The 23,959-nt window shown below is 36.7% G+C and overlaps 1 protein-coding gene across 3 annotated transcripts in view; it reads right to left on the bottom strand.

Annotated features, from left to right (window-relative positions):
* ZNF277 (zinc finger protein 277) overlaps positions 1–23,959 on the bottom strand; it is a 137,240-nt gene that overhangs the window by 26,294 nt on the left and 86,987 nt on the right. For 2 of the 3 annotated variants that reach the window (NM_021994.3, XM_011515768.4), the window contains exons 3-4: positions 21,684–21,772; positions 21,330–21,412 (exon numbers count right to left, since the gene is read on the bottom strand). In NM_021994.3, the coding sequence (NP_068834.2) occupies positions 21,330–21,412; positions 21,684–21,772 (172 nt within the window). The remainder of the gene's footprint in view (positions 1–21,329; positions 21,413–21,683; positions 21,773–23,959) is intronic. The other variant, XM_017011720.3, reaches the window with a different exon arrangement.

Raw genomic sequence — 23,959 nt, 5'->3', positions numbered from 1 at the left:
CTTAATATTTTCATGCATAATTAACTTGTTGCATCTCAACTCAAATAATTTAAAATATGCTCTGATAATATCCTGCTCTAATCAAGGTGGTTCCATATGTTATTTTTCCTGAGGTCATTTTATTTCCTTTTTCTTTTTCACTTTCACAAATCTTATCTGCTAATCAAGATCCCACTTGATTCCTATTTCTATCGTGCAACCATTTCTGGCCACAGTACAACAGTTAAGAGCTCAGGCTCTGAAACATGGAGCAGATCTGGATTTGAAATATGGCTCTCACATATAATTGATATTTAACTTCTTTAATCCTCAGTTTTCTCTTTTTTAATTTTTTATTACACTTTAAGTTCTGGGATACATGTGCAGATCATGCAGGTTTGTTACATAGTGACATGTGCCACATGTGCCATGGTGGTTTGCTGTACCCATCAACCCATCATCTACATTAGGTATTTCTCCTAATATTATCCCTTCCCTAGCCCCTCAACCCCTGATAGGCCTTGGTGTATGATGTTCCCTCCCTGCGTCCATGTGTTCTCATTGTTCAACTCTTACTTATGAGTGAGAACATGTGGTGTTTGGTTTTCTGTTCCTGTGTTAGTTTGCTGAGAATGATGGTTTCCAGCTTCATCCATGTCCTTGCTAAGGACATGAACTTGCCCTTTTTATGGCTGCATAGTATTCCATGGTGTATATGTGCCACATTTTCTTTATCCAGTCTATCATTGATGGGCATTTGGGTTGGTTCCAAGTCTTCGCTGTTGTGAATAGTGTTGCAGTAAACATATGTGTGCATGTGTCTTTATAGTAGAATGATTTATAATCATTTGGGTATATACACAGTAACGGGACCGCTGAGTCAAATGGTATTTCTGGCTCAAGATCCTTGAGGAATTGCCACACCGTCTTCCACAATGGTTGAACTAATTTATACTCCCATCAACACTCTAAAGCATAAAAACCCTAGAAGAAAACCTAGGCAATACCATTCAGGACATAGGCAAGGGCAAAGACTTCATGACTAAAACACCAAAAGCAATGGCAACAAAAGCCAAAATTGACAAATGGGATCTAATTAAACTAGAAAGCTTCTGCAAGCAAAAGAAACCATCATCAGAATGAACAGGCAACCTACAGAACGGGAGAAAATTTTTGCAATCTATCCATCTGACAAAGGGCTAATATCCAGAATCTACAAGGAACTTACACAAATTTACAAGAAAAAAACAAACAATCATATGAAAAAGTGGGCAAAGGATATAAACAGACACTTCTCAAAAGAGGACACTTATACAGCCAAGAAATATATGAAAAAAACCAACAAACCCTTCAAAAAGTGGGCAAAGGATATGAACAGACACTTCTTAAAAGACAATTTTTCCAGTGTTCCCCATTAATATATTCTATTTCTACTAACTACATCTAACCTCTCTACTCTAGTAAGATTTTCTTTCTGACCAATATTGTGTAGAACTGGCTTTTTACAACATGACAGCTGAAAGGGATCTCATGAAACTATCTACTGACTCCCTGTAAGAGATGTTAGGGGATTTGTTTAAAGCTGCATAGCTACTTGGTGCCAAATTTGGTGCTATTTTCATGATATCACTTTTAATTTTTTCTCAGAAGGTACCCATTGTAGCACATGTCGATACAGAGCTTAGAACAATGACCTTCTTATTTAGTGAACAAACAACTTCAGAAGCCAGGGGACAGTGATCTGGAGAGGTCGGGCAGCATTAAAATCTTTCTTACAAAATACCCACACGGAAGCCTCATTGAGATGAATTCAATACAAATGAGCCACTCAGCATTTGGGGCTTAGAACACACTAAAATAACAGCATAGATAACATATGCAAATATAATTATTCCTTATTTCTAGTTTAATTAGAAAAAGAGGAATTCTAAGACTTTCTAGGTCACAGACATTTTAATTTGCTATTTGAAGTTGGTTAAGTTTTGCACAAGACGGTTTCTAAGACAATTCTCATGTTTTTCTGTATTCGAAATTCAAGACATAATTTAACCTGTTCTATATGATACAGGGTCTTTGCTGTGAACAATTACTACCATACTGTACTGTAATGCAAAAGTATTTTACTTTCAGGATCACTTTGCAAATGACTCTAAACTGTTGTGCTCTTTTGCTTTAATTTTATTCTCTCTCTTTTATGGCCATCTATGTTTATCTCCCTTTATTCACTGAAGCTTTTCATCCCTGTTAGTGGGTCTACTTCTACACCCACCAACTGGCTCCCCCATCTACACCTCCTCTACATTAGCTATCCTCTGTTTAGACCTTCCGTTCTTCCTTTTAACCTAGAACAAAACTATAGGGACTTAGGGACTCCCAAAACTCAGCTAAGGAAAAACAGATCATCAAATTCTAAGAATAAAATTAACTCAAATATGTTTGGTACCTAAGAAAAAGTAGCTTCCAATATCTTCCTCAGATGAGCGTCGGGGGAGTTATTTTCATCTGGTAGGGTTTGTTTCTTATTATTGAGTTCTCTTCAATTTGGATCTACTGAGCTTACCAGATACCAGATGGATGGATTTATAGGAAGGACTTTCCCCATACATATATTTTAAAAGTATGTTTATCTGATGCATGCCCAGAGGGATGGAAGACAAAATTTCACTGTAAATGAACCTTTAAAAAATTAGTCTGCAAATACGTAATTACACTATCTGGAAATAAAACTAAAACTGGTAATCAATAAAATCTTAAGTAACACCTTAATGGATCCTTGTTTTCTACTGAATAAAATCCCCAGTATTTAGCATGGCATTCACAATACTCTGTACTTGATTCCAACCTAGGTTGTTTTGTTTTGTTTTTTGAGACAGAGTCTCACTCTGTCAGCCAGGCTGGAGTGCAGTGGCATGATCACGGATCACTGCAGCCTCGACTTCGTGGGCTCAAGCGATCTTCCCACCTCAGCATCCCAAGTAGCTGGGACTACAGGGGCATACAACTATGCCCGGTTAATTTTCTGTATTTTTTTGTAGAGACAGGGTTTCTCCATCTTGCCCAGGCTGGCCTTGAACTCCTGCGGTCAAGTGATCCTCCTCCCTCAGCCTCCCAAAGGGCTGGGCTTTATAGGTGGGAGCCTCTGCGCCTGGCCTCTAACCTAGGTTTTTAAAAGTCTTCTCTCACATTTCTTCCTCATACAATCCTATGTTATAGGGAATAGCAAGAACATATGACACTATTTAGTTGTGTATTATTCTCAATAGCGGTTCTGAACTACCTACTATGATTTCTGAAGCCACTCAATGGCCTGGAGTAATCGTTCCCTCTTTTGCCCATCTTTGCTTATGCAAGGGTCAGTTCAAATGCTGTATCTTTGTGGTGAGTGGAAAGAATAATGGCCTGACACTTAGGGGTTCTGTATTCTTGTCCTGTTTTTGTGACGAAGTAGCTCTTAATGTGGCCTTGGGCATACCACTTCTCTAGGACTCAGTTTCAGATGATCTCTAAATTGCCTGTGAAACATTCTACAAATCATTAAAGTGACTTTCCCAGACTGTTTTTGTATTAGAAGTGATACTTCCTTTTTTACCATAGTTTTATAGCATTCAGTTGGCATCTATATTGCTTGGTCTTCAGGAAAACTGTGTCCCAACCATCTCTACTCACAGAAAATGAGTTCCTCTATGCCACATGCACACAATTTCTTATAGTAGATTCTCAATAAATACATGATGACTACATTTATACCCGAGGTGCAACAACATACACACTACAAATCTAAGTGCTCTACTGAAAATCAAAATGGCTTTCTCAAAGGAAAGGGGTTTATAACACACTTGATTATCCCTTACTGACATATGGTTGGCACTTATTATGTAGTTTATATTTCATTTATAAAGTAAAATGAAGAGCTTCCCACAGTGACAGTAAGTTGATAATTTGTTTAAACAAAGAGAATGGTCTACTACATATGTAAACTATTCCAAGAAATTTACTGTTGATTATGATTTTTAAAAATCCTGAAGTTTTCTTTTAAACTTACAACAGACAATTTTTACAAAATATATACAGAGATACATAGAATTTTACTTGCTATAGGACTAGGGATTTGGGGATAGGTTTTTACTGTTAAAAAATCATTTTTACTTTTAATACTATAAACACAGCCTGGGCAACATAGGGAGACCCCCATCATTACTAAAAATAAAACAATTGGCCAGGCATGGTGGTGCGTGCCTGTAGTCCAGCTATCCAGGAGGCTGACTGAGGTGGGACGATCGCTTGAGCCCAGAAGCTTGAGGCTGCAGTGAGCTGTGATCACACCACTGCACTCCAGCCTGGGCAAGACAGCGAGGCCCAGTCTGAAAAAAAAAAAAAAATTTTAAAACATACTTTTTAAGGGCACAAATACAGTTTGTTACTAACATGACGTTTTGAGCAAAATAGAAGATGCAAGTCATAATAAGGAAACGAATTAGTGATAATTATAAAGCCCAACAGCTAAGGAAAATGAAGTACATTGGTATAGAACACAATTACTTTTGTTTCATTTTTTAAAAAATATTAAGAATTGAAATATGAGATCAAGGTTTTCCTCCTTTCCACTCTAATAAAGTTTAGTCTACAAAGTACTTTTGCCTTGTAAATTTCTTAAAATAACAACAAAGATATAACATATACTTTTGACCATTTTTCACTTATACATAAAATATGAAAAAAATATTTTAAATATGTAACTATTATGTCTGGAACAGTTTTCATTATTGTATTGTAATCAATTCAGTAAGGAGAAGAAAGCTCTCCTTTATTTGTTGAAATTGCCTTTGCTGACATAGCTATGTCATGACATTCTAAATGAATTGGTAAACCAGGAAGCTAAATAAGACAGGTAGCTATCCCTAAACTTTGCTACTCTTCTATTTTTTAAAACTTTTTATTATGAAAAATTTCACCAACACAGAAAAGTTAAATCAACAGTACAATTAACATTCCTATACTCAATATTTACATTCGGTAACTGTGAACATTTTGCCTGTTTCTTTCTCTCTCTTCACATGCACGCGTACATTTGTATATTATATACTTTGTTTTGGCTGTACTATTTGAAAATAAGTTGCAGATACGATGATGCTTTACTCCTAAATACTTCAGCATGCCTCTCCTAAGAGTAAGGACATTCCCCTATGTATAACCACAAAACCATTATCATCACAAGTAAGAAAATCAACAGTAAATTTAAAATAGCTTGTAGTGTCCAGATAATACTTAGATTTATTCAATTACCCCAAGAATGTCTTTTAATGTTCCTCCCTAACCTCTACTCAAGACCACCCTAGGTTCACACATTTCATTTGGTTGTGAGGTATTCTACGTCTAAATCTTAAATTACAAAATAATTCATCTGCCTAGGACTCAAGCTCTGATGCATAGAAAAAATTTTTTTTTCCAAACTAATAGTCTTCCAAAGTATATGAATGACTGATAGGAAAACGTTGTTAATGTTATCATCTCTATGTAATCAACTCAAAATGTAGTCTACCAGATAATAAGCCCACTGAAGGCAGAAATGTTTTATTCATCTTTGTAATCTCCCCTGGGCATTATAGACAGGGTGCACAATAACTGTTGAATGGAGTTGCTGTGTTTCCCATGGCTTCTATTTCTTCAAAACCTCCAGTAGTTAATAGGAGTCTAGGTAGAAGACAGTCATATATCACTATGCCCTAGCACCTTTATTCCTATTGCTGTTACCTTGATAGGATGTGAGAAAACAAAACAGTTTTAAATTCTGTGCATCCTTCTTCTGTGGTAAACATACTGACAATTGCTGATCAGGGAGAAAACTGAGTAGAAGCTACTTGCACAATGAAGAAAAGTATTTTTTCTTTTCTATTTTCTTCTCTCCTCTCCTTCTTCCCTTCCTCCTTTTCTCCCTCTTTTTTTTTCTTTCCCTTACTCTTTCTTTCCTTCATAAAGCTTAGCATCAGATAGAATTAGCTGTGGCATATGTTTGAAGTCACTTATGAATAAAAAAAATTAGGAGACACTCCATAAAAAGCACCACAAAGATGTGCAAATCGAAGATGTGCCCATCTACTTTGTGGATTTATGTTTTCTAAAAAAAAATTCATGCTGGGCTATATATCAGGTTTTATTCATTTAAGTTTATTCTTGGCTATATACTAGGAATAGGGAGATGAAGAGCATGGCTCAGACATTATACATTTGAGCCTCTCAAAGAAGCTGATAAAAATCAGTTAATATTTTCATTACAAATACACTTAGATAAAACCATAGTTGTAAGAATATAAGATCAACTTATGTGTTAGGCAGAGTCATAATAATAAGCTATATATGTTTTTCTAATTAGTGTAAAATGTCAAGTGTGACAGCAAAGGGGTCAATGCCTAGTCTTTCATCTTTATTCATAAGCTAAAAGCAGAGAAAAAATTAATAAAACAGCAGATATAGCAGATGGCACTCAACATAGTCATAGGGGATTGACACATAGGTAGAAAATGAAAATGTGAGTTAGGTTGAAAATTATAAAAACCAGTCAATTTATGAAAGAGCAATTTAAAAAATGTTTATTTAGGTAAGAATTTATACACAGGAAAGTAAAAAACTGATGCTTAAAGGGACAAATCCAATGGAAATAACCTGGATTAACAGACGAAAGTAAAACCAAGATGGATGTTATTAGCTATGGCTATCAAAAACATTTTATGGATACTGACAAGTAATAGATTTACAATAGAGTTTCTTGGCTAAATGGATATATGAGTGGCTATGAGAGAAAAAGGCACACTCCTCAGGTTCCTTCCCAAACCAGCTTAAAGGCAGCAGCATGGCAGAACCAGCTAGGCATTCTCAGCCTAGGAGTCCAGTGGCACTCCTCCAATATAGAACACAACAAATCTCCTCATGAAAATTATAGCAGTGGCCCAAAGTCTCCACAGAAAGGCAGCAGAATTTCCTATTTCTCCTGCTTTTTATTTTAAGAACCATGGATTAACTCTGAGGTATCTGGGATTATTTCACTTATACCTCCACTTTGTTCTAATAAATGTTTCAAGCTGCTACAGAACAATGTAGCATAGAAATGGGAGTAAAAGAAGAAAGAAAAAAGTAGGGTGGCACCTACATTGCAAATAAAAAATAAAATACATACACACACACACACTCTCTCTCTCTCTCTCTCTCTCTCAAACCTAACCTAAAGGTAGGCCCTAAATGTGGCTCTCAGCTTTGGCAGACAAGGGAAACACACCAGGTAAAGGGTTTGTGTGGAGAATTCGGATGGCCCTTGTTGTCTGTTCCTAGGAGATAACTTATTAACCCTGAGAATTTCCTGAGTGACTGGAGGGTCTGTGTTATTCATGGTGGGCCCTTTGACCACACCTGATAGTTTATATAAATGACATGACTCAGGATGGGAACTGGCCATGCCAGAAAAGACCAACAATGTGATTAGTGGGTTGGGGCTCTGAGCCACATAAGATGAGCCTCATCTCCTGGGAAGGGAGGGGAGCTGGAGATCAAGCTCAACCATGTGACCAATGACTTAATCAATTATACCTACTCAATGAAGCCACAATAAAAACTCTGGACACCAAAGCTCCAGTAAACTTTCTTGGTAGGGATTAGTCTGGGTATGGTTACATACTGATGTGCCAGGAGAACAATGCATCCTTAGGAACGATGGCAGCTTTGTATTTGGGAATCTCCCAGATCTCATCCTATGCGTCTCTCTGTTTGACTTGTTCTGATTTGTATCCTATTGCTATGACTGCACTGTAATCACAAGTATAGTGCTTTTCTGAGTTCTGTGAGTCATTATAGCAAACTACTGAACCTGAGAGAGTAGTGGGAACTCTTGAATTTGTAGCCAGATGGTGAGAAGCCAAAGTATCCTGAGGAACCCCCAATTTGTGGCTGGTGTTTGAAGTGAGGATAGTCTGTGGAGGGCTGTGCCCTTAACCTGTGAAGTTTGGCCTGTCTAGGTAACTGGTGTCAGAGTCATTGTGGGTATATAATAAGTATATGCATCATGGACAATATACTTAGGATTAATAGAAAAAACAACATAGGGCTGTTTCCAATATCAAGCCTTAAAAAAAGCTAACCCTCATCCCAAAGCACACCCTCAAACTCAGTGAAAACGGTACAGAGGGGTGGGGTATGGATTGTCATGATGCAGTACAGATACTTCTTGTCTCCTGACTGATTGTTTAAGACTATATAGGGAAATTATGAAATTTTTCTATATAGTCTTAAACAATCAGTCTCCAGTCTTCCTCAAACAATCTTCCCTGAACACAGTTTTTGTAAGTATTCGTTGGTTATAATCTTGAATCTGTCTTTCTTCCAGTCAGTATCTGGAATGTTGCTTTTATAGACTCTCACATGGATACAGAGGCACAGGCTTCAGGAGATCATCAGGAGGAGACATTTGGGTTGACTCTTGTAAAAACTGCATAGTCAGCGATGGGGTTCAGAACATGCCACCCCAAAATATGGCACCTTGGAAGAGCAGAAGCAGGAAGCTCACTTTTACCTCCTCCTTCCCCTTTCCCCCTAAAGTAGATCGTAAAGCCTTCATTCAAAAGGTACCCTCTCTTATACCTGGGGGAAAGGAACATCCTTATCTCTGAAGACACAAAGATAAACAGAAGAATCTGAACAAATAGATATTGCTAAGTCCTCTCCAGTTTTTTACCAGATCATATCCCCCTTGTCTAATCATACTTCCCCACAACTATCCATTTCTTCATCAAATTTAGCAGAAAAATGCACAGGTGTCCATTTCTTTGGGTCTTCATTTCCTTATGAAGGCTCTTGAGTCAAGTAAAACATACTAAATACATTTGTATGCTTTTCCTTTGTTAATCTGTCTTTTGTTTTACAGGTCTCAGCCATGAAACTAGAGGTGAGTGAGGGAAAACATCTTTCCTCTTCTACATCCTAAGCACAGACTAGAACTTGCATGAAAAGTCATTTAATTGTTACTCAAAAATGACTGAAGAGAATAGCCACACACTAGACCAGAGTCCACTAATCCTCATCCGCCCTCCTAACACCAACTATTGGCTTCCAAAGTTGTACCTCATATATATCATGATCATAATTTTTTCAATTTTTTTTTAAGACATAATCTTGCTCTGTTGTCCAGGCTAGAGTGCAGTGGTATGATCTCGACTCACTGCAACCTCCACCTCCTGGGCTCAAGTGGTTCTTGTGCTTCAGCCTCCCAAGTATCTGCGATTACAGGCATGTGCCATGACGCCTGGCTAATTTTTTATTTTTTTTAGTAGAGAAGGGGTTTCGCTATGTTGGTCAGGCTGGTCTTGAACTCCTGGCCTCAAGTGATCTGCCCGCCTCGCCTCCCAAAGTGCTGGGATTACAGGAGTGAGCCACCGCACCCAGCCATGGTCACAATTTTTAACAGATTAAATTTTAAGTAAAGTGTTAGCAGACGCCAAGCCCTTATTGGGTGGGTATCAGAAAACTATCCAAAGAACATCTGGCAGTGAGTGACATAATTTGCTCGCATATACTCCAAAGACAAACTTCTGGCAAAATGGATATGAAGATAACCAAATATAGCAATTTATTGATACAATAATTGATAGGTAAGTCAACACCAAGATCAAACACCAAGCCATAGTAACAGGTTTTAGAATTTATGACAACTAGTTGACAGGGTCAATAGTCTCTTGAAGCTAGACCTCATTTAGTAGACAAATACATATATATGTATTTGGACATATGTATACATACTAAATACATATGTATGTATGTATTTATCTTTTAGAACTCTATAAAATGGAAAAAAAAGCATCTACCTTAGCCAAAAGTAGCACTTAACCACTAAGATACTAATTAAAATCAAGCAGGGGGAGGAGGAGTTCAATTTCTGCTTAGGAGATAGATACAAGAGAACATCCTATCAATGAGAAAAAGCTGAATAATCAAAAAAATTCAACTGGGAGGTTGAGGCGGGTGGATCACTTGAGGTCAGGAGTTGGAGACCAGCCTGGCCAACATGGTGAAACCCCGTCTATTTAAAATACAAAAAAATTAGCCAGGCATGCTGGTGCACGCCTATAATCCCAGGCAGTCAGTAGGCTAAGGAGGGAGAATCCCTTGAAACCAGGAGGCGGAGGCTGCAGTGAGCCGAGATCACACCACTGCACTCCAGCCTGGCGACAGAGTGAGACTGTCTCAAAAACAAACAAAAAAAAGAAATAAATTCATAACTTATTTTGAGTCCAAAGAGCTGAAGTCACAAGGCAACTAGACAAACTGAATTCTAAAAGGTGGTTAGCCTCTCTGAAGAGAGACACGAACACAGAGCATGGGAGGAAAAGGCAAGCAGGAAGACAAAAGTTTGTATTTTAAATAATTCTTAAAGGCAAAATCCCTGAGAGTCCTAGACACAAGGGGTCCAACTCCCCCCATGGGCTTCCTCCAAGTTCTCAGGAGAAAGACTAGGAATAGGGCAAAGAGACATGAACAAAAGCCCTTTGATGGTGAACAGGCACGAACCCCAGCTTGCTTCTGGGGACCATTCTTTAGCACACAAAGCAAAGGCCATAAGCTGCTGGGAGAAGGACCCAAATCCTGCACTGCAAAGTAGATGTTGGCTACTGCTGGGGATGGAGTAAAAAATGTTGAGAAATAATATAATTATTCCTGAGTTTTTCTTCTCAACGGTATCTGAGTGTGTATTAGTGTTCTGGGGTGTAAGAGCTGGATGTAAGGACAGGCCTGAGAGAACCTAACCTGCAGTTTGCCAAGCAAGTTCTGCAATGCACTTGCCTTAGAACATTCAAAATAAAGTTATAGGCATGTATTTGGTGTTAAAAGATTTAAATATTAAAAAATTAAATATTTAAAATACTTAAAATTTATGAAAATGGAGGCCTTTTCTTTTAAAAGACAGGATAGGTCAGGTCTGGAAACAACCTGATAGAAAGGTGGCTGGAAAAGAAGGTAGATGAGGAGACCTACAGTACCACCCCTTGGTCACTGTGCTCCCCAAATATGTTTAGGGACCAGTAAAGATCTAAAATGCATTCCCTTTTTGCTGACATGCTGGGATTATAAAAGAGCCTCTCTAGAAAAGGGATAAAAACATGAACATCAGCTGGGGGCGGTGGCTCACGCCTATAATCCCAACACTTTGGGAGGCCGAGGCGGGCCAATCACCTGAGGTCAGGAGTTCAAGACCAGCCTGGCCAACATGGTGAAACCCCATCTATACTAAAAATATAAAAAGCAGCTGGGCATGGTGGTACATGCCTGTAACCCCAGCTACTCAGGAGGCTGAGGCAGGAGAATCACTTGAATTCGGAAGGCGGAGGCTGCAGGGAGCTGAAATTGCGCCATTGCATTCCAGCCTAGGTGACAGAGCGAGACTCCATCTCAAAAAAAAAAAAAAAAAAAAGAACATTCAGAAATCTCAGAGGAGAGAAAACCTTAAAGAGCAAGCAGTTCTAAAACAGTTTAGAATTTAGGATTAAAGTTTTCAGCCATTAATTAAAGTTCAGGATAGAAAATAAATAGTACGTGGTCAAGAAAATGGAAACTTGAAAGTAACAAAAATTAAAATTCTCATTAATCAGATGCAGAAAAAGGTCTGTCCTGTTGATACAAAGGTATCACAAAGTACTAGCTTTCTTTTGAAGTGACTTATTTATAATACCAGAACCCAGACTGCAGGTTAAATGGCAGAGCTCCCTAATACATACGGAATGCTGATGAGCCTCTTCTCTTGAACAGTGTGAGCACTCAGAGTCTGTTAGTATAAGCACTGGAGACACTGGACCAGCATTCCTTTGAGGAACTGACATCAAGGCATGGAGAGTGGTATATCAGTCATCGGTAATTAAAAAGAGGGACCAGAGATGCTTCTTTGCTATCTAGTCCCTATATTCCATCAGAGTAAATACATTTAAAATATAAAGGAAAGAAGGTCTTTTGGTTTGTTTTTTGGTGAAAACAGTTGACTTGGATACTTCAATCAGTTAAAACAAATTTATTCAGTAAAAACTTCCTAAAGGCTCATTAAAAGTTTAGTATTACATTGGGCACTGTAGTCTATGACTTCTATTTGGTCATAACCTCAAATGCAGAATAGGTTTAAATCTTTCCTACCCCCGAGAAAGGAATTTCCAACAAATTAAACAATCAGTATAACTTTTGAGTATCTACTTTCCAAAACACTGTAGCTGATAGCTAAAGTTAATCCTCCACAGAAGGCAATTTTTCCTAAATCATTTCAGCTATATGAATTACTCTACATGTCTTTAGCTTCCCAAAGCACTTCCAAAGCATTCATTTGCCTGTAGTACCATTCCAGAGGCTCATCTTCCCCAAAAACTCTTCCCTTCCCCTTCAAAAAAAGCCATGAGCTTATTATTATTATTATTATTTTTAAGGAATGGAGTCTTGCTTTGTTACCGAGCCTGGTCTCCTGAGTTCAAGCGATTCTCTCGCCTCAGCCTCCCAAAGTGCTGGGATTACAGGCATGAGCCACTGGGCCCAGCTCATGAGATTCTAGAGAAGAGCATTCCAAGCACAGCAAACAGCAAGTGCGAAGTCCTTAAAGCTGGAAACAGCTTGGTGTGTTTGAGGAACACAGACATAGCCAGTGTAGCTGGAGTACAGTAAGCACAGGAGAAAGTGGGTGAGAGAGACGTGGGAGAGTGGCTCAGAGAGGCATGTGCCAGATCCTTTGAGATCTTGGTAAAAAGTCTGAATTTTTATTCTAAATAAATTTGAAAGTATTGGATAATTTTAATTACTAGTTACATGATGTGAATAAGTGAACAATGTCTAAGTTACTGAAAGAGTTTTCAAATTGTTTCAAAGTGAGGCTGGCTAAAGACATAACACCAACTCCTCTTGTTCTGTCTGCCATTTCTTATCTTTTCTGACAGTAAGACGGTATTTTCATTTTAATCCCATTCAGTATTATGGTGAAATTATTTTTTTCTATCACATCCTTTATTCTATCTGATGTAACTTTCAATATGAGGAAATTAAAAGTATAAAAAGTTCAGTAAATTTCCACTAACTTAAGGATTAAAAGTTTGGTTAATAAAGTAAAATGGAAACATGAATAAATTATTTGTACAGATAATGATGTATAGCTTCAACAACTTTCAGAATGGAATCTGCCTATAACTGAGTTAAATATTTTGGAAGCCCTCACACCAGGGGTCAAATAAAAAGCTACTTTTCCCCACCCCCAAAATTCTCTTTTAAGTGTCAAAAGGGTCACTGAACAGCATTGGGAATGACTGATCTGTTTGCCAGAGTCTGATCACTAGAGCATTTGAATTTATGTTAGCAATATACTCAAATAATATACTAAATAATACTTAATATACTTAAACACACAGCTCTGCATGTATAAGGCAGGGATAACTGTACTAAAACAAAAACTATTAATGGCAAAATACAGTTTCTTTAAAAACAATCAATAAAATCCACCTTTCTCAGCATTTTATGAGAGATGATAGAAAGTTAACCTTGTGACATTAGAATCTTAAATAAACAAGGAAAAGCCATCCATATCAATGACTAAAATAAGATAGTGAAACATAAAAAACAGAGATACATTTCTTAACTGGATGATGATATACACCCCCAAATCCATGAGAGTTGATCTGACTAGTATTTCACCTTCTTGAAAGATATCAGTACCTCCCACCGTTTCTGAAACTGCAATGATAAAGGCAACAGCCATCTGCTTGCTATACAGGATAGAAATATAGTATTTTTCTTCTACTTTTGAGTCTCACTGAGATAGCTTTTTAAGAGTGTCTTCAAAACAGGACAGAATATCCAAAAAAAATAAACTAGGAGATAAAAAAATGAGACGAATTTAAACATTCACATGGAAAATATCAGCACAATGAAAAAAGGTAGACGTACAAAATAAAATGTAAATGCAGGAGTTAAACACACAAGAAACTAGAAAAGCTAAATTCCTATTTATATTAAAGGTACAAGAGAATTTAGCTTAGGTAGGAAGAGAAGGACTTTAAAAAATTCAATAGGTGGGCATGGGAGATTGCAAAATACCCATCTTTTAGAAGAAAAAGGAAAAAGAAAGCTATCAGCATGGCATGACTCGGTATAGGATTACCAGCCTGAAGAAGTATTTTCCTGTATAAACTCAAGGTCAGGTACAGTTTTAAAAGAAAATACAAGAAGCTTAGGCCCAAAGGAATAAGAAATTCCTATCTACTACTGAACTAAGATAATAGGAAATCAGATTTTCTTTAAAAAATTATTTACAATGAAAACAGAATATTATTATTTATTTACATACATATTTATGTCCTGTTCAGCCATTTTCATTAATTCTAACAAATGTCAATTTAGAAAATGTCACATTTGGCTGGACACAGTGGCTCACACCTGTAATCCCAGCACTTTGGGAGGCCAAGGCAGGTGGATCACTTGAGGTCAGGAGTTTGAGATCAGCCTGGCCAACATGGTTAAACCCTGTCTCTACTAAAAATATAAAAATTAGCTGGGTGTGGTGGCATACACCTGTGATCCCAGCTACTCCTCGGGAGGCTGAGGCATGAGAATTGCTTGAATCTGGGAGGTGGGGTTGCAGTGAGCCAAGATTGTGCCACAGCACTCCAGCCTGGGTGACAGACTGACACTCTGTCTCAAAAAAAAAAAAAAAAAGGCCTATTTGCTCAGAAAGAAAGATCAAATGTGATAAAGTATCCTGGTGCAATTAGAAAGAGAATGGTGATTGGGGTTGGAAATTTAGGAGTTTGAATTGCTTCCCTTTCTATTTAACACTGTATATAACCACGGTTGTGTGCATGTTTCTTACTGTCCTTGACCTTGCATTTCCTGTTAAACAGGGGTAATATTTCCTGCCTGATCTCACTCAACCAGTATATATACAAATTGTCCTGTAAATTTTAAGTCCTTGTTGAAGATGCTCAAAGTGGTGAACCTTAGGACTCAGAATAATATCGTTTTAGATTGTGATTACCATTTGTTTCCCAAAGAAAGCAGTCATCAATCTGAAGGTTAAACTTACTCAATGGTCACTGCAGCTAAATTGATCTCTGTTGCACTGTTAATAACAATGTTACATTCAATGGGAAATATCATCTTATATTTAAGAAAATTTTATTCTAGATGCAGTATTAGAACTTGTATGTATTGTGCCTGAAAGATAGGAATTATGCAAGAAAAGTATAAATATAAATTGATTTTTTTACTTTCAGTTTGTTGGCATACAGTAATTTGATCCTTTACTGAAAGTCTCTAGAACTATATTTTAAAAAGTGGCATGAGGAAGAACAATCTTCTCAGTGGGAGATACGCAATTTCATTTTGTTGTGGCTTTATTGTGGGGAGAGGTGAGACACATGAAGTAGAATTAAAAACAGAAAAAACTGTTTCTCTCCTGAAGATAAATTTGTTATATACGTTAAAACTTTCATAAAATATTTGTAGTTGTCATGAATGATATCTCAAGCTGACATTTGAAATAGTGATTAAAAAAAATACCTTCATACAGTTAGGCCTTTCCTTCTTTCCCAATTTAGTTAAGTTACGTCTTGCTACTGAGAACTTAACGAATACCACACATTTTCTCCTGTAGACAAAGGAAAAACTGAGGATTTTTTTATGTTGAAGTGCAAAGTGTAATGCAGTGATTATAGATGTCTGCCTCAGCTATATTGTATCCTTGTTAATCAGGGATATTTGACTATATGGCTTTATAGAAATTACAAGCCAATACTTCAGGATGAAATTTCAGTTCATACGTAAGAGCAAGCCTCAGAGAAGATAGAAATGTTAATACAACAGTCTAAACTGCTAAGAGACATCTTAGTAAGGAAGACAGATTTTAAAATAACTAACTATAATTGAAAAGCCAAATAAAATAGTGTGTTAATAGAACTTAGAAGAGGTCATTAATTTTGACAGGTGGCATATGGGAAACTTTTGGAAAATGTGGCAGTTGAGCAATGCCTTGAGGGATATGTATCTATACAGGTGGGGATTGCCATTCCTAGTTCATGAAGCAGAATCCTGAAAGTACCTAACATACTTGATAAATGTGAGAAAAGTAATGTTTATACTACAGTGTAAACTTCACAAGGGCAGGGACCATTGCCTGTTTTATCCACTGCTATATCAGTAGTATTTAGAAAATATCTGGTACAAGATAAATATTTGTTGAATAAACAAATTAATTGGATGCTGGGCAATTTAGGGAAAAGACACTGGAAATGCAGTTTGAGACTAGAAAACCTTAAGAACATGAAGACAATAAAGAATAGGGCAGGTTTTTGAAGAAGAGAATAGGGCCAGGCGCAATGGCTTGCTCTTGTAATTCCAGCACCTTAGGAGGCTGAGGTAGGAGGATCTCTTGAGCCCAGGAGTTCGAGACCAGCCTGGGCAATATAGTGAGACCCCATCGCTACGAAAGGATCACTTGACCCCGGGAAGCAGAGGTTGCAGTGAGCCACTGTACTCCAGCCTGGGCGACAGAGGGAGATCTTGTCAGAAAAAAAAAGAATAAAGTGATTTATGTTATTTATTAATATTAACAGATAATCAGTTACTATTAATCAATTAATAGTAACATTAATTTTAATAAGTATTTATTAATATTAAAATTCTGGAGGCAGTGTCAATTGCCTGAAGAGGTGAGTCTATAGACAAGGTAAGTATGAGTATGGATGTGGGACTTGGGACTCAGCTGGACCTGGTAGGATTTGACAAATGACTTAGATATAGGGGTGAGAAAAAAAGAATCAATTAAATATGCTTCTAGAGATTTCCAAACTGAGTGACCAGGAGAATGGTGGTGTCATTATGTAATAAAAGGAGAACAGGCAAATAGCAAGTTTTGGGGGAGGAAAAAAATAAGTTCTGTTTTTAGGCATATTAAAGTGTGGACTGGAAATCCAAATGGAAAAGTTTCACATAAGGAAATATAGATTTGGGGCTCAGAAGTGAACCAGGATGAAAGCTATGGATGAACTCAATTCATGAATATTTACTCTGACTGCCTACTCTGCACCAGCACTAACATTTAAGCCATAGGCCTAATAGTGGTAGTTATACAGATGTGCATGCCCTGAACAGGTGATAAGATCTTGAGAAACATATGTATACACATTTAAGAGAAAAGAGGGAAAAGAACCACTGGACAAGACTAAGCTAGACTGATGAGAAATAAGAGGATGATGCACCAAGATCACGGGAGAATTTTTAAAGGAAGCTAAAGGGAAGAAGGTGTTCAAGCTATTGAAATCCTCGAGAATCTTCCTAATTCTGTAGTTTCTTTCAGAATATGGATGAAAATATTCAAAGAAGTGTCAAGTAGGAATCAAGCTCTTCAAAAAGAAAACTGGGAACACATACAAATCTTGCAAATGTCAAGAAACCAGTGAAATCTCAAAGAAATGGAAAAAGAAATATGATTCTAGCATAAAATCTGTTACTGTAACTTTCAGTGAATCATTTAAACTCTATATACCTCCAGCCACTCACACAGAAAACAGAGTTTTGTCTGTTTGTTTAAAATGAGGTTTGGGGAAAAATAACAATATGAACTTAGGAGTATAGGGAGGACTAGGAAGGATGTTTAAATATAAGACACAGTTTCTGCCCTTAAGTTACAGTCATTTTGAACTAAGAGCAAACCATACAAAGGTACTTAAACTATATGCTTTACCTAGAGTTCCACATGAAAGAATAAATATTTAAGAATAATACATATGCAAATCATCGTTAATGCAAATCAAGTCAGCAAATGCCCTACTAATACTCTAGTTTGAGGGTTCTTCCTCGTGGACTTGAGTTGAGATCCTCAAGTTGAGATCCTCAAGATCCTCAATTCAAAGTCTTTGAGTTGAAATATTGAGCTGGGGTCACTCAAACACTGAATACATTATACATCCATTATCATTAAGCAGTTTGATTGGTTTAAATTACATGTTTTAGAAACTAGAATGAAATTCTGATTAATAAAAAATTGTTTGATAAAGTATAATTAGTAGCAGCATAAGGAAAAAACCACCAAGCTGTGGTAGAGTGAGTGACTTCAAAACCCTCTGGCTGTAAAGTCTTCCTAGGATGAGTTCTTGCACACTATGGGCCAAGGGCATAAACATCTTCACGAGTTCCAATGCATGATGAGAAAGTGCCTCTCAGAAATGGTATACCAGTTTACATTCTTAAAAGCAGCTGAAGAAGTACTTGTCTCTTAACATTCTTGCCACCATTTAGTACTATTATTTTCAAGTCCTGTTAACTTGATAGAAGAAGAAAAAGTATACTGTTACTTTTGTTTCATTTAATGATTTAGACTTCTTTCTGGACATGCTTCTTACTGATTTGTAAAGTTCTTTCTTTATAAAGGAGATAGATCCTATAATCATTGCTAACGCCCACAGAAGAATCACCCACACTAACCTCATGCTTCCACACTATGTAGCATAAAATTGTGATGAACTGGCTGATGGCAAATTCAGCCTGTCTTCCTGCTGTTTGGCAAGTCTTTTTTTACTTTTTGTTGATCCTCTAATCAGAATTCCAGTGGCGGGCTATTGTAAACTGCCTCTGCTTTCCCTAAACTTCAATCCAAGCCTGAATCCCCTCCCTACACAGACTTGTCAGACCATGAGCACCCAGGACAGAGAGATTCCCAGAGCCTAGAATAGTAGTACCAGACACATGAGAGGCCAAATAATGACTACGCTGGCATGGCATGGCTTAAAAGGCATGTACCTGGAATGTTTGGTTTGAAACTCTAGCTCTGCACCTCATTCACTATGTGTTCCTGGGCAAATTAAGCTTCCTAGGCCACATTTTACTCATAAATAGAACGGCATTTAATAGCCACCTCACAGGGTGCTATGAAGCAAGAACCAAATACAAGGCATGGCTTATGGATGGTCATCAGTCATTGTTAGCTTACTTCCAATCCCCAAGTTGGTCTAGTCTTTCTCAGGCTTTGACAGCTTGAAATGGATTTATACGCAGCTACATTTACTCTTTTCTTCATGTCACTGATGGACAATGAGGGCACATTAATGGGTCTTTATTACTACAAAGTCAAGTTTCTGGCACTGAAGGATTTCCACAATTTAGCTCCATTTTACCTCTTCAAATTTATCTCATACTCCTCCCCATAAAAATTTTTCTATCTAAGCCGGAGTAGACTTTTACTCGATTTTCCTGAATACACCTTGAACATTTAGATGCATATGTATCTTTCTTCCCTTCCCTACAACTCTCTTAACTATCCAAATCCTTCTCATTGTTAAGACACAGCATTATTACTGTTATTTTTATTGGCTAATATTTATTAAGTGCCTTCTATGTGCCAGGTAGTGTTCTAAGTATATTACATGTCACTTAATCTTCATAAGCCCTGCAAGATATTTTATCATTATCTCTATTACCAAGATAAGAATACATATTTATCTTTCTTCTCTAAGTAGACCGTACACTCTTGTATGATATGGATTATGCCTTGTACTCTTGTACTTCTTTGTATAGGCATCTACTTAAGCAGAAATTCAACGAGCATGTATGGATTGATTGCCTTTTCATTCTTCTTTTGTTTCTGTAAGCTGGCATAATGCTCACTTCCATTAAATGTATCACTATCAAACTGTAAAGTAAAAAAGGTAACTTAAATGCAGTATATGTAGGTATTTTTAGAGACCTGAGTCCATCTGCAGACACATCGTACAGATTCTGCATGCTAAAGAACAAGAATGGCTGAAGTAGTAGGGTTTGAGTTCTTATAAATAAATCCTTAGGACTACTAGGATCATGACATCTTTTGATCATTCTTAAGGCCACTGTTAGCAACAGTGAGAAAATTCATGTAAATTGGAAATTATGAATAAGTGCACGCAAATAACATCCATAAGACATGATAGTAAATTTAGCCTTGTTTTGCAGATTTCATAAGACACTGCTATAAGGAGAGAAGAGAAACTCAGGAAGTCCTATTTCTTTACTGCAGTTGTTGTACAGGAAAACTTTTCTTAGATATAAATCAACATCCAATGGTATCACCTTCCCCTACTGGAAGAAATAATCATTTGGGATGTCTACAAAATAAAATATGCTTCCAGGGACTTTCTTAAATTATATGACTATGGTAAATAGCATTTATTTTTCTCCTTGATCTCTTGAGGATATAGCACAAATATTTAAATCATTTCTCTCTCTTATAACATATTTAGCTAAGTCCAAAGATAAAAGAAAGACTTACAAGAAATCACTAAAGGAACAGCAAGTCAACTTCAAGTAATAGTCGAGATTAAATCACAAATAATGGGAACCCATGTACTTTTAAACAAAAGTAACAATTTAAAAAATTACTTTCTGATTAACTTACGAAAATAAAAATTTTCAGCCGGGTGCAGTGGCTCCCGCCTGTAATCTCAGCACTTTGGGAGACTGAGGTGGGCAGATCATGAGGTCAGGAGATCGAGACCATCCTTGCTAATACGGTGAAACCCCATCTCTACTAAAAATACAAAAAATTAGCCAGGTGTGGTGGCAGGTGCCTGTAGTCCCAGCTACTCGGGAGGCTGAGGCAGGAGAATGGTGTGAGCCCAGGAGGTGGAGCTTGCAGTGAGCTGAGATCACACCACTGCACTCCAGCCTGGGCAACAGAGCGAGACTCCATCTCAAAAAAAAAAAAAAAAAAAAAAAAAAAAAAAAATAAATAAATAAATAAATAAATAAAATAAAAATAAGAAAATAAAATAAAATAAAAATTTTCATGCTTGTATGTGCTGTTATCTTTTTTAAAGGCTAAAGATGCTGAGGTTTTCAAATTAGCTTGCTTATGGTTAAGCCTGAAAACCAGAAAGGCTACTATGTAGATTAAACCATATGCTTAATTCATAAAGGGAAATAAAAAAAATGCTAGTGCATAGCACATTCCAGTAAAGGGGAGAAAAAAAGGTTAATCAATTCAACTCAATTTTAGCTGAGGGCATTTTTCCATGACTACTGAACCCTAGCATGTGTCAGGCAGCTAAAATTACACTAAAATGTGTAAGTTCTGTTGTTATTTTAGAGATAATCCAGGAAGCAAAACAAAGCCAAAAATTCTCTCTGCATTTTTAACATAAAACGCTTTAATTTTCAGTCAAGTGTATACTTTTTTTTTGTTTTAAGACCTTTTTGTATTGTCTCCTCTTTTACATATGTTTGAAAGTTTCCATAACAAAAAGTAAAAAAAAAAAAAACCAATATGATTTTATATGTATTTATATGTATTTTCAAGACACTATTCACCCTTTAAAAACAATTCTTACCAGTCTCTGTTTCTGAAGCTCTTCTCTAAGAATTCTATCTTCTGGTAAAACGTCACATAACAAAAAATAATTCTCTTGTTCTTCTGTTGAGAGATTAGGAAAACAAATAAGAAAACAGATATTAACCATTTTTTCCCCAGAAGGACTTATTTCTTAAAAAATACAGATGTGTGTGTCTATTAGGATCTCTTTGGCATAGAACTGTTTTAGCTTTATTCAAGTTAGGCAAAATAAACACATCAATTTAATTTTATCTATCATGAAAGTAAAAGTAATTCTAATATAAGACAGTAAGATTATTCCTTTGAATTTTTATACTGTAGGGAAAAGATGGTAGCCAAGATGTACACTTACCAAATGGAGCAGTGGAATTAATTCTTATTACACTACAAAAATCTGTGATGGGCTGTTCAGTGAACCTTTTCCTCCAATATAAAATGTACCTTAGAACAACATAAAATAAGGAACGATGAGAAGATTCAATATACTATTTGCTTTAGAATGACAGGAATCTATAAGCACATTCACTCATCCCAAAGCAACAAATCAAATGTTAACTTAAAACTGCTTTTCTAGCAGTTTTTTGTGAATACAAAGGCAGTGGAGCATTATAGAAGTATCAAATAAAGATTTAATAAAAAGGAATTACCATGTAAGGGCATGAAAATGACTAAACTCTACTATCCCCAAATTCAATAAACAGACATATAGGAAAGTTAAAATGAATTATTTTTATGTGATAATGAATTTTTCTGAAATAACACCTAAGTTTATGTGTCTTTAAAATACAATAACGATTAAATAGGCTATGACACACTCTGCAGTAAAGAGAAAACTAAGTGGTTATCTTATGTATCAAAAGAACAGAGGTCAGAAGAATAATGCAATGAGAAATCAGTCTAAATTCAATATCAATATAACAAGACAGAAAAATTCCATATGTCTACACTGAGTCTGAAATGAGGCAAATTTAGACTTTGGAAAAATAGCCTAACTTACAATTCTTGTATCTAATGAGCAGAGTTAGAAGCAACACACCAGCTAAATTAAAAACCAAAGCCTAACACCCAGACCTACATATGTGATGAAAGAGGGAGTAAGATGACAGGATTTAACAAGTGGTTTATCTTTCCATTTATCTAACAAGATTTATATTGGCAACTGCAATCTCATTTATTGAATGGTACCAAGAAGAGAGTGTTATCTTCATAGAGAGAGGAAAAGGAAAGCTTGATTCTATAGCTCCCAATTTATCAGGCCACACAACTGAGGGACAAAACAAGTAACTTACACCAAAGAACCAAAAAAAGAAATGGGACTTATTGAAATAGATGAAGAATATAGAAAGAGTAGAAATTTGGACATTTTAAATGGCTTGACTTAGCACATCTAGGAATGTTTTGGATATATTAGGTCCACAGTAAATGTTTTAAAGAAGTAGAGAATTTGAAGATTCCTGTAAAGTTCTCTAAGTAGTCCCCAATTCCCAATATTTTGTCTCCTTTTTATTATTAATTTTTTTCTTAACATTAATTTTCCAATACCATGGTGCTCTATGGAAAGGGCATTTGTGTATTAGAAGTCTGTGCTGGAGAGAGGTCTGGGAGAAAGAGATAAACATGACACGAGCTGACATCAAATAAAAATACACTGAATGAATATAGAATATGTAAGAAAAAGAAGCCAATGAATAGTGTATAAAAATAGAATCCCATGTTTAAGTTTTTCTTCTCCTGTACAACCACACTGTTAACTTTGATGGGTAAGTAAGGGGAGAACCCTTTCCTTATAAAACAGTGCTAACTTGTATTCTAGGAGATCTTAAAATGGCAATCTTAAGCTCCCATTGAGCCTTAAACCACAAATATATAAATGATGCACCCTACTCCTTGGCTAACTCACTGGCTTCCATATTAGAAATCTCAGAAGAAGGCAAGTGCATATTGGATCCATCACAGCAGATAAATAGAGAAAAAGTACCTACAAAAGGCTGGGACATTATTTCCTTAGCCATCCTGGGCCAGCTTCAACACGTTGTACTCCTCAGTCTCCTACATGGCTACTCCTAGTCTCTATCTTTCCATTCCTCACTAGTTGCTTTCCCCACCACCCCATGGTAGAGAGGAAAAAAGGGGAAAGAGAAGACAAGAGGAGGCTTAAGAGAATAAAAATGACATTCCTAGTCCTTTTCTTATTCTCCCCCAAGCACATTTTCTATTACAAAGTGGTGACAGGGATGAAGGAACACAGTAGAACCTGTATTAGAGATGTTAGAACAGAAGATGGATTATTCCTCTAAATTGAAATATAGACATCTATTTTCATGATTAATCAAATTTATACATGGCAGAACCAGGTGCTAAGATAACTGACTTCAAAAGACAGGAAGGCCAAGTTCCCTCTGGAGGTTCCCTACTGCTACTGCTAGAATACACCAAGGAGTGGATCGTCAGTCCTGGTTGCCACTCCATTGAGGACTATCTGGATGGTATCCTCTAGACAAAACGGAGACTAGTGGTCAGCCCTATATAATTAGTTCCATTTTGGGTCTAGAGCCTGTTGAAAGGCAGTGATAACTCCTTGAATACACAGACTACTTTACTTTGGAAAATGTTCACAGTCTTAGAAAA

The sequence above is a fragment of the Homo sapiens genome, chromosome 7 (assembly GCF_000001405.40).
Source record: "Homo sapiens chromosome 7, GRCh38.p14 Primary Assembly".
NCBI classification, from domain to species: Eukaryota; Metazoa; Chordata; class Mammalia; order Primates; family Hominidae; genus Homo; species Homo sapiens.
Note: the sequence above shows the minus strand (reverse complement) of the source record. Positions and strands in the feature narration are given on the sequence as shown.